This window comes from Homo sapiens, chromosome 19, assembly GCF_000001405.40.
Source record: "Homo sapiens chromosome 19, GRCh38.p14 Primary Assembly".
NCBI classification, from domain to species: domain Eukaryota; kingdom Metazoa; phylum Chordata; class Mammalia; order Primates; family Hominidae; genus Homo; species Homo sapiens.
In genome coordinates this window covers 21,422,824-21,438,929 of record NC_000019.10, presented here as the reverse complement: position 1 = coordinate 21,438,929, position 16,106 = coordinate 21,422,824, and the positions used below count along the sequence as shown (strand labels likewise).

At 38.4% G+C, this 16,106-nt stretch overlaps 1 protein-coding gene across 7 annotated transcripts in view; it reads right to left on the bottom strand.

Annotated features, from left to right (window-relative positions):
* Window positions 1–11,352: 11,352 nt before the first annotated feature.
* ZNF493 (zinc finger protein 493) overlaps window positions 11,353–16,106 on the bottom strand; it is a 30,445-nt gene continuing 25,691 nt past the window's right edge. For all 7 annotated transcript variants that reach the window (XM_047438678.1, XM_047438677.1, NM_001076678.3 and 4 more), the window contains one exon: window positions 11,353–16,017. In XM_047438678.1, coding sequence (XP_047294634.1) covers window positions 13,946–16,017 — 2,072 coding nt within the window. In that variant the 3' untranslated portion in view covers window positions 11,353–13,945. The remainder of the gene's footprint in view (window positions 16,018–16,106) is intronic.

Below are 16,106 nucleotides of genomic sequence, written 5' to 3'. Positions count from 1 at the left end.
GATGCAGTAAATAGGCAGGCTGGCTGCGGTGGCTCATGCCTGTAATCCCAGCACTTTGGGAGGCTGAGACAGGTGGATCACGAGGTCAGGAGATCGAGACCATCCTGGCTAACATGGTGAAACCTTGTCTCTACTAAAAATACAAAAAAATTAGCTGGGCGTGGTGGCGGGTGCCTGTAGTCCCAGCTACTTGGGAGGCTGAGGCAGGAGAATGGTGTGAACCTGGGAGGCAGAGCTTGCAGTGAGCCGAGATGGTGCCAGTGCACTCTAGCCTGGGTGACAGAGCGAGACTCCATCTCAAAAAAAAAAAAGAAAATGCTCAGGCATATGCTCAGGGCCAGTTCCCAGACCAAAATCCCAACTGGGACTCAGAAGATGCGACTCAGCTTCAGCATTTGCAGAGGTACCAAAAGGCACTTATGCAAAGGCTAAGGGATGGTGGAAAAAAGGCTATCAATATAAGAAAGATCTCAGAGGTGCTTCAGGGAAGTAAGATCCCTAGCCAGTTTTATGAAGGACTCTGTGAGGCATACCAGCTTTTAACCCCGTTTAACCCTGAGGCTGCTGAAAATCAGCATATGGTAAATACATCATTTGTAGGACAGGCCCACAGTAATATTAAGCAAAATCTTCAGACACTGGGAGGTTTTGCAGCCATGAATGCCACCCAGCTTATAAAAGTAGCCACCAAAGTGTATGTTAACCATGACCAGGGGGCAAAGAAGGAAGTCGAACAGAGGCTTTAAAAAAAGCCAATCAAGGCCGGGCACGGTGGCTCATGCCTGTAATCCCAGCACTTTGGGAGGCCGAGGCGGGTGGATCACCTGAGTTTGGGAGTTTGAGACCAGCCTGACTAACATGGCTTAACCCCGTCTCTACTAAAAAAATACAAAAATTAGCCAGGCATTGTGGTGCATGCCTGTAATCACAGCTACTTGGGAGGCTGAGGCAGGAGAATCACTTGAACCTGAGAGGCGGAGGTTGCAGTGAGCCAAGATCATGTCATTGCACTCCAGCCTGGGCAACAAGAGCGAAAATCCGTCTCAAAAAAAAAAAAAAAAAAAAAAACTCAATCTATAAGCAGCAGCCCTCATAGAGAGAGAAACTATTAATGTGAGAGGATGCAGACATGGACCTGGAAGAGGTCAAGTTAGACAGGGATTCGAGAGCCAACCAAGGTTAGAGAAGGATCAATGTGCATGATGCAAAAAGAAAGGACACTGTAAAGATGAATGTCCAGAAGGCAATGAGGGAAATGGCTAAGGCCGTGTGACAGAGAGGCCATCGGTGAGGGGCTGCCAAACCCTAAAGCAATGCAATACTGATCTAATCGGGCTGGCAGGGGCTAAAAGATATGAGAACTAGGACAAACTGGGCTCCTTCTCATTGGGCCTCCAGGAGCCTATGGTTGCATTAGAAGTTGGGAGGCCAATTAATGGACTTTATGGTAGATACTGGGGCTGAATACTCTGTAGTAACTTGACCCATAGGGCCACTATCCAAGAACTATACAACGATTGTAGAGGCTACTGGTGTCTCAAAGAAGAGGCTGTTCTGTTGGTCAAAGAGGTGTGTTATAGAAGGACGAGAAGTCCAGCATGATTTTCTGTACCTCCAAAATTGTTCAGTTCCCTTGTTAGAAAAAGACCTACTCCAAAAACTGCAAGCACAAATTACTTTTGGCCCACAGGGAGATATGACTTTAAATCTGACTCACCCAAAGGCCATGGTGTTAACCCTTACCATCCCACAGGTTGAGGAGTGGAGACTTTATAAAAATAAATCGCAAGCACCAATGCAACCTCATATGCCCTCATAACCAATGAGGGCATCATTGGTTATCAAACCCAAGAATGACTCAGTACTAAGGGCTTCTATGTAAAAGAAAAATTATTATTTCAGTTAGTTAAAGAAATTCCTGGAGTGTGGGATGAGGACAACCGACCTGTGTTAGCTGTAAATCATGCAGCAGTAGTAGTAAAATTAATACCAGGAGCAACTCCTGTTCGGGTTCATCAGTACCCAGTTCCCCCAAAAGGCTGTACAGGGCGCTTACAAACACTTAGAGTGGCTCCATAAACATAGGATTTTAGTCCAGTCCCAGTTGCCGTACAATATTCCACTTTTGCCTGTACAAAAACTGCTGCCAGGACCAGGGTCTAATAAGTATAGACCAGTGCAGAACTTGTGTGCTGTGAACCAAGCCATGTTACCTATCCATCCAGTGGTACCCAACCTGTATGCTTTAATGGAACTCATTCCAGCAAGTACTGCCTGGTTTACAGTCTTGAAGGATGCTTTCTTTTGTATCTGCTTGGCACCAGTTAGTCAGCCTATCTTTGCATTTCAGTGGGACAAAGAAGCTACACAGCTCACCTGGACTAGGCTCCTGCAAGGGTTTAAAAACTCTCCCACAATCTTTGGGGAAGCGTTGGCCTCAGACCTTAAGGCCTATACCATGCCAAATGATAAGTGCACCTTGTTACAGTACATGGACAACCTTCTTTTGGCAGCCCCAACCCGAGAGGACTGTTATCATAAAACCCGAGACCACCTCCATCTCTTATTGAAAGCAGGTTACTAAGTATTTAAAAAGAAAGCCTAAATTTGCCATGAAGAGGTTAAATGTCTAGTTTTCATAGTAAGCCACAAGGAATGCCAGCTTAGGTATAAGGAATAGCAGTCCATTTGTGCGCTTCCAACCCCTGAAACTAATCAGGAAATAGCATTCAAACAAATCAAAGAGGCTGTAATTCAGGCCCCAGCCTTAGGACTACCAGATATAAGTAAACCTTTCTTTCTATATATTCAAGAACAAAAGGAAATTGCTACGGGGTTCTGACTCTAAGTTATAGGATCACAGCATCACCCAGTGGCATATTTATCCAAACAACTAGACTCCGTGGTGCTAGGAAAGCCTTCTTGCTTTAAAACCTTAGCTGCCACTGTTTTGTTAACACAAGAGGCTAGTAAATTAACTCTGGGACAGCAGCTAACCATCCAGGTGCCACACTCAGTTATAACTTCAATGGATCAAAGAGGGCATCATTGGTTATCAAACCCAAGAATGACTCAGTACTAAGGGCTTCTATGTAAAAACTCTTACATTATTTTAAAAACAGTAAACATCCAGGCTGGGTGTGGTGGCTCATTCCTGGAATTCCAGGACTTCGGGAGGCCGAGGAGGGAAAGTCACAAGGTCAGGAGTTCGAGACCAGCCTGGTCAACATAGTGAAACCCCGTCTCTACTAAAAATGCAAAAATTAGCTTGGTGTGGTGGCACGTGCTTGTAGCCCCAGCTACTTGGGAGGCTGAGGCAGGAGGTGGAGGTTGTAGTGAGCTGAGATCACAGAGTGTGATTCTGTCTCAAAAAAAAGTAAACACCTAAATCTGGCTACTCTGCTTCCCATCACACCGGGAGCTCCTCTCCATAACTGCGTCAAAACCACAGATAAGGTATCCTCCAGTCGGATAAATTTTATAAACCAACCCCTCAGAAACCCGAATGTCAAAACATCAGCTCAAAAAGCAAAATTAATAGCCCTAACAAGAGCACTGTTGTTGGCAAAAGATAAGAAGGTCAATATTTACACTGGCTTTAAATTTGATTTTACCACACTGCATATTCATGGAGCTATAAAAAAAAAAAAGCAAATAAAAAACGCTTTCAACAGCTGGAGAAAAAAAAATAAAGTATAACGAAAAGATTCTACAGCTCCTAAAGGCTGTATGGGCTCCAGAAAAAGTAGCTGTAATACACTGCAGAGGGCACCAAAAGGCAGGAACACGGGAAACCAAAGGAAACAAAAAGGCAGACAGAGAGGCAAAACAGATAGCAATAATTACGCTGCATTTTTTTTTTTTTTTAAATCAGAGGAAGCCTTAGCTATGGCTCTCCTCCCAGAACCTCCTCTCCAAGAAAACCCAAGTTATACACCAAATGAAAGACCCTGGTTTGCCCAGGAGGCTGAAAAATATATTCAAGGAGGGTGGTGGAAATTCTTCGATGGGAGATTAGCCATTTCAAAGATTTAAGCTCATATGTTTGTAAAGCAAATTCATCAAGGAACTCATGGAAAAAATGGCACTAGAAACGTTACTAAAATGCCATTTCTATGTGCCACGGCTCTCTGCCATCACTTGAGCCATTTGTAAACAGTGCTTAACCTGTGCTCAAAACAACCCGCAACAGGGGCCCACTTGGCCCCCAGGAATTCGGGAAGTAGAAGCCATGCCTTGTAAAAGCGTGGTTACAGACTTAACAGAACTGTCCATGCTGTGGACTACCAGTCCGTGCTAGTGCTTGTTTGCACCTTTTCAGGATGTGTTAAGGCTTTCCCCACCGGGACAGAAAAAGCATGAAAAGTAACTAAAGTACTTTTAAAAGACATTATCGCCAGGTTTGGACTGCCTTTAACTTTAGGATCAAACAATGAGTCATCATTTGTGGCTGAAATAGTGCAAGATTTAACAAGACTATTAAAAATAAAATGGAAGTTACACACAGCCTATCGGCCATGAAGTTTAGAAAAAGTGAAATGTATGAACAGGACACTCAAGCAGCTACTTAAAAAATATCAGGAAATTCATCTAAGATGGAATCAAGTCTTGCCTATGGTCGTCCTCTGAGTCAGTTGCACCCCCAGCAAACAAACTGGGTATTTGCCCTGTGAAATTTTGTTCGGTCAGCCTCCCCCAATCATAAGCGAAATAAAAGTTGATCTCCAGGAACTAGGGGAATTAACTTTAAAAAGCAAATGCAGGCTCTACGGATAGCTATGCAAAGTGTCCATTACTTGGTACATTAAAAAAAACCTGTAAGTCTGACAGACCCAGTACACCCCTTTAAACCTGGAGACTGTTTGGTTTAAAAAGTTGAATCCAACTTCTCTAGGACCCATATAGGATGGGTCCTATACTGTAATCTAGTCCACTCCCACTGCTGTTAAAGTTTCAGGTGTTGTGTCTTGGATCCACCACAGTTGGCTAAAACCAGCAGCCCAAGACAAGTGGGCCAGCCAGCAGGACCCAGATCATCCAACCCGGCTGATCCTGAGACGAGAGCAAGCTGCTGCTAAAGACAACTGCCCTGCTCTGGTCATTCTGGAAGCTGACCAGTCTATGAATGGCGGAAGCATAAGAAGACAACAAGCCCTACTCTAGTCACACACAGGAATCTGACTAGTCTATGCACAGCCAAAGCTTAAGAACTTGTCAAGCAAGTAAATGTGGTTAAAAATCCTAAAAGTAGTAGTTTTCCTTGTAATACTGTTTTCCTATTGTTCTGTCACTGTGCTCAGTCTCCTCCCCCAAATAAAGACCTCTTCCGTCCTTGCTGAATATAAATAAGCTGTATATTGTTTTGCTGTTGTTACCCCCTTAACCATGCTAGAAGAAGCACCTATAGAAGGGTGTCCCCACTGTACACATACTACCTGGTCAGGGACTGGTATAACTAAAACTCTATTGTACCATAGTTATAAGTGTACAGGGACTCACTTAGGAACTTGTACTTATAATCAGACTACCTGCTCAATTTGTGGCCCAGAAAATAACAAACCTTATGTATTCTCTGACTCTAAATTTTCGCCTGGTGAATGGTGTAAGATTCGTGCAATGTCAAAGGAAAATTTCCTCTTAAACCAAACCAAGGTCCCTCCCTTTTACCAAGGGCCTGTTTCTCTGTACTTGGATGCCTATCAGGCAGCATACTAGACTCACCCGTCTGTGGTAACTTACCCTTAAATACTATAGAAATAACTACAAATATATATGCATGCCAAGAGTAACTCCTCCTTGTTCCGCTGGGATCCCAAAAAAGGATTGTTGGTACTGCATATCATGGCACCTTAGCATACAACAGAGGCCAATTATGCTTACCAAAATGCCAGTAAAACCAGATTGCAAAATAAAAACCTGTAATCCTGTAAACTTCACCATTCTAAAGTCAGACTTACCCATGTGGACTACAGGTTACTCTTACATGTCTACATAAATACATACCCAGCAACCTAACTATATGTTATCAAAAAAGAAACCTGGACCTGTCTGGCTCAGCAACAATCCGAAGTCTTTAAATCATTCTATAAGCATGTAAACTAGAAGTTACCAGAGTCTCTTCCTTTAGCTGAGAACCTGTTTGCTCAGCTGGCTCAAAACATTGCTGGCAGCCTAGGCATTTCTTCATGTTATGTTTACAGAGGAACATGGGAGACCAGTGGCCTTGAAAAGCAAAAACGTTAATGCCACAAGATAATTTTACTTTAACTGACAATTCCCCTGAACCAATGCCTGTAAGTTCAAGTCTCTGGCTCTGAAAAACTTCTGTCATTGGAAGATACTGTGTTGCTCGCTGGGGAAAGGCTTTTACAAACCCAGTAAGAGAACTAACCTGCTTAGAACAGCAATATTATAATGAAACACTAAGAAAAACTTTGTGGCGGGGCAGAAATGACTCCAAATCACCTCATCCAAATCCGTTCTCCTGTTTCTGTTCTCTAAATCACACCTGGTATCAGCTTGAAGCTCCAAATACCTGACAAGCACCCTCTGGTCTTGATTGGATCTGTGGGCCATGGGCCTACCAACAGTTACAAGGAAAATAGATAGGGGCTTGTATATTCAAGACAATTAAGCCATATTTCTTTTTACTCCCACTGCAACAAGGAAAAACCTTAGGGTATCCTGTCTATGATGAAATTAAAAGAAGAAACAAAAGAAATATAAACATAAAAAAAGACATACAAATAGGAGATTGGGGGCCAGGCATGGTGGGTCATGCCTGTAATCCCAGCACTTTGGGAGGCTGAGGCAGGTGGATCACGAGGTCAGCAGATTGAGACTATGCTGGCTAACATGGTGAAACCCCGTCTCTACTAAAAATACAAAAAGGTTAACCAGGCATGGTGATGGGCACCTGTGGTCCCAGCTACTCGGGAGGCTGAGGCAAGAGAATGGCGTGAACCCAGGAGGTGGAGCTTTCAGTGAGCCAAGTGGCACTGCACTCCAACCTAGGTGACAGAGCGAGACTCTGTCTCAAAAAAAAAAAAAAAGGAGATTTGAAGGATACAGATTGGCCACTGAAAGAAGGATTCAATAATGTGGGCCAGCTACCTAGGCACAAAATGGGTCATGGGGGTACTGCACCTCAATTTACATGCTTAACTGCATCATAAGGTTGCAGGCAGTCCTTGAAATTATCACTAATGAAACAACAAATGCATTAGACTTCTTTGCCCAGCAGCCCACAAAAATGAGAAAGGCCGTTTATCAAAATAGCCTGGCTTTAGACTATCTCCTAGCCCAGGAAGAAGGAATATGTGAAAAGTTTAATCTAACTAATTGCTGCTTAAAAATTGATAACAATGAGAAAGCTTTGTAGAAATAACTGCAAGAATGAAAAAATTAGCCCATATTTCAGTCCAGACCTGGAAAGGGTGGACTCCTGATTCCCTCTTTGGAGGCTGGTTTTCCTCCTTTGATGGATTCAAAACCTTAAAAGGACTAGTTCTAACCATACTAGGAGGTTGTTTGATACTTCCTTGCCTTTAATCCTTCCTTATTAGGAGCATTCAATCAACTATAGAGACAATTGTAGCTAGGCAAACTACCACTCACCTAATGCTCTGCATAAATATCAACCTGTTCCTAAAGAAGAAAACCTGCTGTCTCTTAATGAATCAAGTAATAGTGATGCTTTCTATTAAAATTTTGTTTATAAAAAGCATCAAAGGGGAGAAACTGAGGCAGAAATTTAAAATAATAAGTACTGCATTCATTAACTCCAAGAAAAGTAAAAGCCAAAGCCCAGAATGTGGCAAGGCAGGGGTTAAAAAGAAAAGTTTTCCTCTGCCTAGCAATCTCACTTCAAGGAAAATTAGAAGATAACCTTGTTCAAGAAGGCAAAACCAAAGAAATAGGCTCCAGACAGTCCCCTCCGAAGCAAGGGTGAAGGACACAAACAAACAAACAAATGTCTATATTAGCCAGTTCTTTTTTCTTTCAACGCAGCTCCACGGCTACCAGCTATGCCAAGCCACAAGTTATGCCAAGTCATCAGTTATGCTATAAATTACGTGACCTGTCATTATATAGTTAACTGCCTTTGTTTTGCTTCTGTATGTTTGCTCAGTCTTTGAGCTCAGTCTTTGCTTTTTAAGTTTGGATGTGAATCCACTGAGCTGGTGCCTACCTTAAAATAAATATGCTCCTGTATTCACCGATACTGGTCTCTCTAGTCCTCTGCATCCTGCAACACTTAGAACTGGGAGAGATGACACAAAGATGGTGCTTGCATGTTGGGTGGGAGAGGAAATGATTATCAGGGACTAGATCGTAACTGTTTCACTCATCAATGTTGACTTTCATTGCTATTTTGTCTCAAATTACGTTAATAAAGTAATGGCTTTGGTCCAAGAAGTTTTCTTAAAACATGTTGTCAATCAGCCATAATATTAACCAAAAAATGCACAGAAATGAAGGTAAACAGTCATAATTTACATTTTAAAATTAAAATATTTCTGGAAATTTTTAAGGTTTCCTAGGTAGAGCATTATATCATCGTGAAGATAATTTAACTTCCTTTTTTTCTATTTAGATGCTTTTAATTTCTTTATTTTGTTGGATAGCTCTGACTAGGACTTCTAGAATTATGTTGAATAGGAGTGTTAGACTGGATATTCTTGTCTTATTTTTATTCTAACGTTCTGATTTGCTTATGAACTCAGATTGCTCGTATTTCATGGAGGATTTTTGTTTCAATGTTTACCAAAAATATTGGCCTGCAGTTTCCTTTTTTTGTTGTGCCTTCACTATATTTTGGAATTAAGATAATATTGATATTATGAGTTAGGGTGGAATCCCACCTGGATTTCTTGGAGTATATTCAGTAGTAGTACAAGCCCATCTTTGTATATGTGGTAAAATTTGGCTGTGATTTTACATAATCCAGGGCTTTTACAGTTGGTAGGTTTGTTACTAATTTAATTTCATCATATGTTTTATACATTTTTGCCCATTCTAGACTTCTGTTTCTTCCTGGTTCAATCTTGGAAAGTTTTGTGTATCCAGGAGTTTATTCATTTTCTCCAAATTTTCTAGTTTGCATGCATAAAGATGTTCATAGTAGTCTCTGATGATTTTTTGTATATATGTAAAATTAGTTGTGATTTTACATCTCTAACATGTAAATAGATGCAGAGTACAAAAGAATAGATGCACAATGGAAGTTTGACAAAATTTGACATTCCCTTATGATAATCTCTGAAAAACTAATTATAGATCAAATTATTGGCACCTCAGCCAATAAATGTCACATATTAGCAAAAAATACACAGCTAACAACATATTAAACAGGGATACCTTGCAAGATTTTACTCTAAGAGCTAGTATAAGGCAAGGATGCCCACTCATCCTTACTAAAGTCAGTCTTGCTAAACATAGTACAAATCCAAGACAAAGGAATTAGGGAATAAAATCAAAAGCATCCAGATAGGACAAATGGAAGTTAATTATTCCTGTATAATTATCTTTTATCCCTATGCATAATCTGAAGTATAGAAAAACCTAAGTAAGACTGGCTGGGCGCAGTGGCTCACGCCTGTAATGCCACTACTTTGGGAGGTTGCGGCAGGTGGATCACCTGAGGTCAGGAGATCAAGACCAGCCTGGCCAACATGGTGAAACCCAGTCTCAACTAAAAATAGAAAAAAAAAAAAAAAGTAAAAAATTAGCCAGGCCTGGTGGCACAATACCTGTAATCCCAGCTACTTGTGAGGCTGAGGCAGGAGGATTGCTTGAACCTAAGAAGTAGAGGTTGCAGTGAGCCAAGATCATGCCACTGCACTCCAGCCTGAGTGACAAGAGAGACTCAATCTCAAAAAGAAAAAAAAAAAAAGAAAAAAGAAAAGCCTAAGATTTTACTAAACAAATTTATTAAACTTTCAAAATACAAAAGCAACATCAAAGTCAGTAGCATTCCTATGCCTTAACAACTATCTCAAAATGAAAATTAAGAAACACTTTCATATACAATAACTCTAGTAATAAATTCAATACAAAGCAGAGTATACATTTGCTTTCAGCATTTTTGAGGCTTTTAGTTTTATACTAGTCACCTTGTTAAAATAATTTTTCCCCAATATTTCTTCTGAAAATAAGTACAAACTTCTACTCACACAAACTCACTTACTTTATAATTTCCTTACGCCTAAAGTTTATCTTTTAGAGTAATGTATATTTAACCCAAATTAAGTCGGTATGTGTTTCCATGCAGACAGGACACATGTTCAAATATATATATATGTATAAAATTTTAAGATATCTACTCAGGACTCAGAAGTGTATGTATTTTATTTATACTTGTATATGATTTCTTTTATAACCATAAAAATAACCCATTAGTCAATTACAGTTTAACTGTTCATTTTTTTTTTTTTTTTCGTGAGACGAAGTCTTGTAATGTCGCCTGGGCTGGAGTGCAGTGGCACGATCTCAGATCATTGCAACCTCTACCTCCCAGGTTCCTGGCCATCTCGAACTCCTAAGCTCAGGTGATTCATTCGCCTGGGCCTCCCAAAAGTTCTGGGATTACAGGCGTGAGCCACTGCACCCAACCATAACTGCACATTTTAAAATAATTTTTATTATAACCATAAAAATAAACCAGTAGGCAATAACAATTGTATATATATATTTTTTCCTGAGACAGAGCCTCACACTGTCACCTGGGCTGGAGTACACTGGCATGATCTTGGCTCACTGCAACCTCCACCTTTCAGGTTCCCTTGATTCTCCTGCCTCAGCCTCTTAAGTAGCTTGGATTACAGGTGCCTGCCACCACACCCAGCTAATTGTTTGTATTTTTAGCGGAGACAGGGTTTCACTATGTTGGCCAGGCTGGTCTTGAACTCCTGACCTGGTGATCCACCTGCCTCGGCCTCCCAAAGTGGTGGGATACAGGCATGAGCCACCACACCTGGCCATAATTGTACATGTTAAAATAAGTAAAAGTGTAGAATTGGGTTGTTTTTAATACAAAGAAATAAGTGCTAGAGGTGATGGATACCACACGTATCCCAATGTGATTATTACATATTGTATTTGTGTATCAAAATATGCCATATATGGCATAAGTATATAAACTCATGTACCCACAAAAATTAAGAAAAATAAATTTAAATGATTAAAATAAAAATAAAAATTTAACCTATAAGAACAATATTCTTTAACTTATTTGCAGTTCGAAGCCACTGGCAAAAGAGATGACTACAGATGTTAGTCCATGATGTTACCAAATAGTATATTGTTACCATCTTTTACGTATGCCATTTGGTAAGGTGGAAAATGTTAATCTTTGTGGCATAACAACACTTTATTGAATGCACAATAATATTTACCATGTTAAAAATGTTGAAACAGTTACCTTCACACAGAATTTAAAATTTTTTAAAATGTACTGCATTTTATTATATAAAAGTACAATTGGGGGGAGGGGGGACGGATAGCATTGGGAGATATACCTAATGCTAGATGACGAGTTAGTGGGTGCAGCGCACCAGCATGGCACATGTATACATATGTAACTAACCTGCACATTGTGCACATGTACCCTAAAACTTAAAGTATAATAAAAAAAGTACAATTAGTAAAATATATGAATAATATACTAGTTTTCTCATAATGCAAAAGAATATTACTCTTAACACCTACCTTGTGCATCACTCAATAGTATAAGTTAACCACAAAGAACCTCTCCACTTAGATTTTCACCATGCATCTTACATTTTAATATTCTTACTCATCCATAGAAAAGATCATAAATAATGCCCATCTAATGAAGAAGAATCTCTCATACCTCTGATGCAGCAACAAATGATCACAAGCTTTCACAAGTGAATAAGAATGAAGAAACAGCAGAAAATAATGAGTTGAGTTACATCATTTGCTTTTCAAAAAATCTGTAATTTTTTCAAGAAACAAAGTATAATCCGAATATAGTTATTATTCTACAAAAAATCTTTTACTCCTCTTAACATTATATACAAATAATTTTTCTACCAACTTTAGTTTTATTTTCTATACTCAGAACTCTCATTTAGTAGAATATTCGAAGTGTCGCTTCCTCATATATTTCTACTATAAATTCTGGTATTTACATAGACAAATTTGGATTAAAATTTTTTTTATTTTTACTACACCTTTGAAAATATATTTTCGTATAAACTCTGGTGTTTTCTAAGCTGTAGTTTTTGAAAATTTGTTTTCCCAAATTTATTACATTTGCAAGACAGCTCTCCAATATAAATTCCCTGATGTTGAACAAAGTTTGAGTGACCTCTTCAGAGTTTTTCTGTAGTACAAAATGTGGACAATAAGATCTGATACAAGTAAAGGTACTTCAACCCTCTTTATGGTTGTAATGTTCATCTTTAATATAAATACTCTCCTTCACTTTAAAGGATAATATTTTCTGAAAGATCTTTTGGCAGTAATTGCACTTATCATGCTTTTATTAAGCATGAACTCTCTGGTGTTTAGTAAGATGTGAGCAGATATTGACGTCTTTTTCACAGTCTATATTTCTACAATTTTTCTCAAATATAAATGATTTTCTGTGCAATAAGGTGTATTAGTTAAAAACTTTGCCACATTGTTCTTACTTGTAGGAAATTTTTCCAATATGAATATTACCTATAATCAAGTGTGACAACCATTTAAATACTTTGTTACATTCTCCACATTTCTAGGATTTCTCACCAATATGATTTCTTTTATGATTAGAAAAGTTTGAGATGTTGTCAGAAGCACTGTCACATCTTACTGGTTTGTAGAGTTTCTCTGCAGTAAGAATTATCGTATGTGTGTTAAGAACTGAGGACTAGTTAAAGCCTTTGCCATATTTTTCACAATCATAGGGTTTCTCTCCAGTATGAATTTTCTTATGTTTAGTAAAAATTGAGGACTGGTTAAAGGCTTTGTCACATTCTTCACATTTGTAGGGTTTCTCTCCTGTATGAATTATTTTGTTCAATAAAGTTTGAGGACTGGTTAAAAGCTTTGCCACATTCTTCACAGTTGTATGGTTTCTCTCCATCATTAATTATGTTTACTAGGAGTTGAGGACTGGATAAAGGCTTTGCCACATTCTTCACATTTGTAAGATTTTTCTCCAGTATGAGTTATCTTATGTTTAGTAAGGTTTGAAAATTGGTTAAAAGCTTTGCCACATTTTTCACATTTGTAGGGTTTCTCTCCAGCATGAATTATCTAATGTGTAGTAAGGGTTGAGGATTGGTTAAAAGGTTTGCCACATTTTTCACATTTGTAGGGCTTCTCTCCAGTATAAATTATCTTATGTGCAGTAAATTGGAGGGACAGGCTAAAGGCTTTGCCACATTCCTCACATTTGTAGGTTTTCTCTCCAGTATGAATTATCTTATGTTTACTAATGGATGAGGATTTGTTAAAAGCTTTGCCACATTCTTCACATTTGTATAATTTATCTCCTTTATGAATTATTTTATGTTTAGTAAGGTATAAGAATCAGTAAAAAGCTTTGAGACATTCCTCATATTTGTAGGGTTTCCTTCCAGTATGAATTATCTTACGTGTAGGCAGGGTTGAGAAGTGGTTAAAAGCTTTGTCACATTCTTCATATTTGTAGGATTTCTCTATGGTATGAATTCTCTTATGTTTAGTAAGGGATGAGAACTAATTAAAGCCTTTGCCACATTCTTCACATCTGTAGAATTTCTCTCCAATATGAATTATCTTATATTTAGTAAGGTATGAGAATCAATAGAAATCTTTGCCACATTCTTCACATTTGTAGGGTTTCTCTCCAGCATTAATTATCTTATGTGTATTAAGGGTAAAGTACTGGTGAAAAGCTTTGCCACATTCTTTAGTAAGGGAATAGGAGCAGTAAAGGCCTTTGCCACATTCTTCACTTTTGTACAGTCTCTTCAGTATGAATTCCAATATGAATTATCTTATGTCTACTAAGATGTGAAGACCGCCTAAAAGCTTTGCCACATGCTTCACATTTGTAGGGTTTGTCTCCAGTATGAATTAGCTTATGTTTAATAAGGTTTGAGGAATGGTTAAAAGCTTTGCCACATTCTTCACATTTGCAAGGTTTCTCTCCAGTATGAATTATCTTATGCGTATTAAGGTTTGAGAATCGGTAGAAAGTTTTGCCACATTTTTCACATTTGTAGGGTTTCTCTTCAGTATGAATTATCTTATGTTTAGTAAGGGTTGAGAATATACTAAAGGCTTTGCCACATTCTTCACATTTGTAGGGTTTTTGTACACTATGAATTTGCTTGTGCCCAGCGAGGTGTGAGGACCGCTTAAAAGCTTTGCCACATTCTTCACATTTGTAGGGTTTTTCTCCAGTATGAATTTTCTTATGTATACTAAGGATTGAAGATCGGTTAAAAGCTTTGCCACATTCTTCACATTTGTAGGGTTTCTTATCAGTATGAATTATCTTGTGTTTAGTAAGGGTTGAGAATACACTAAAGGATTTGCCACATTCTTTACATTTGTAGGGTTTGTGTCCAGTATGAATTCTCTTATGTGTAGTAAGGTGTGAGGACCGATTAAAAGCTTTGCCACATTCTTCACATTTGTAGGGTTTTTCTCCAGTGTGAATCATTTTATGTATAGTAAGGGTTGAAGATCGTTTAAAAGCTTTGCCACATTCTTCACATTTGTAGGGTTTTTCTCCAGTATGAATTATTTTATGTATACTAAGGGTTGAAGATTGGTTAAAAGCTTTGCCACATTCTTCACATTTGTAGGGTTTCTCTTCAGTATGAATTATCCTATGTTTAGTAAGGGTTGAAGATCGTTTAAAAGCTTTGCCACATTCTTCACATTTGTAGGGTTTCTCTTCTGTATGAATTATTTTATGTTTAGTAAGAATTGAGAATACACTAAAGGTTTTGCCACATTCTTCACATTTGTAGGGTTTCTCTCCAGTATGAATTCTTTTATGTGTAGTAAGGTGTGAAGACTCCTTATAAGCTTTGCCACATTCTTCACATCTGTGGGATTTCTCTTCAGTGTGAATTATCTTATGTTTAGTAAGGGTTGAGAAAATACTAAAGGCTTTGCCACATTCTTCACATTTGTAGGGTTTCTCTCCAGTATGAATTCTTTTATGTGTAGTAAGGTGTGAGGACTCCTTATAAGCTTTGCAATATTCTTCACATCTGTGGGATTTCTCTTCAGTGTGAATTATCTTATGTTTAGTAGGGGTTGAGAAAATACTAAAGGCTTTGCCACATTCTTCACATTTATAGGGTTTTTCTCCATTATGAATTATCTTATGTCCAGTAAGGGTTGAAGATTGGTTAAAAGTTTTGCCATATTGTTCACATTTATAGGGTTTCTCTCTAGTATGAATTAGCTTATGCCTAGTAAGGTATGAGAATTGGTAGAAAGATGTGCCACATTCTTCACATTTGTAGGGTTTCTGTCCAGTATGAATTCTCTTATGTGTAGTAAGGTTTGAGTCCTGGTTAAAAGATTTGCCACATTCATATTTGTAGGATTTCTCTCCAGTATGAACTCTCCTGTGTCTAGTAAGGGTTGAAAACCAGATAAAGGCTTTGCCACATTCTTCACATCGGTAAGAATTCTCTCTAATATGAATTCTTTTATGCTGACATAGGTGTAAAAGCATGCAAAATGATTTGCCACATTTTTTACATTTGAAAGGTTTCTTTCCAGTATGTTTTGTGTTATGTCTATTTGAATTTAAAAGTTTATGAAAGACTTTCACATATTTATCACATTGAAATATTTTGCTCTGGGTAGTTGTCAAATACTGGTTTAGTTCATTATAACCTTCTTTGTGCACATTACACTCATTCATACTTTTACATCCTTTTCTTAACTGTAAATCCTTATGTCCACATTTTACATATTCTCTCAGTATCACTTTTTGAAAAGAATCTTTAATGCCTGGCCCTGGGCAAAAGTCTTCAGCAAAATGAGAACATATAACTGAAAGAAATAAAAATATCAAATTACTCCACTTACTAGACTCAGATAAATATAGATTACAAATCTAAACTATAATATTATACAAACTG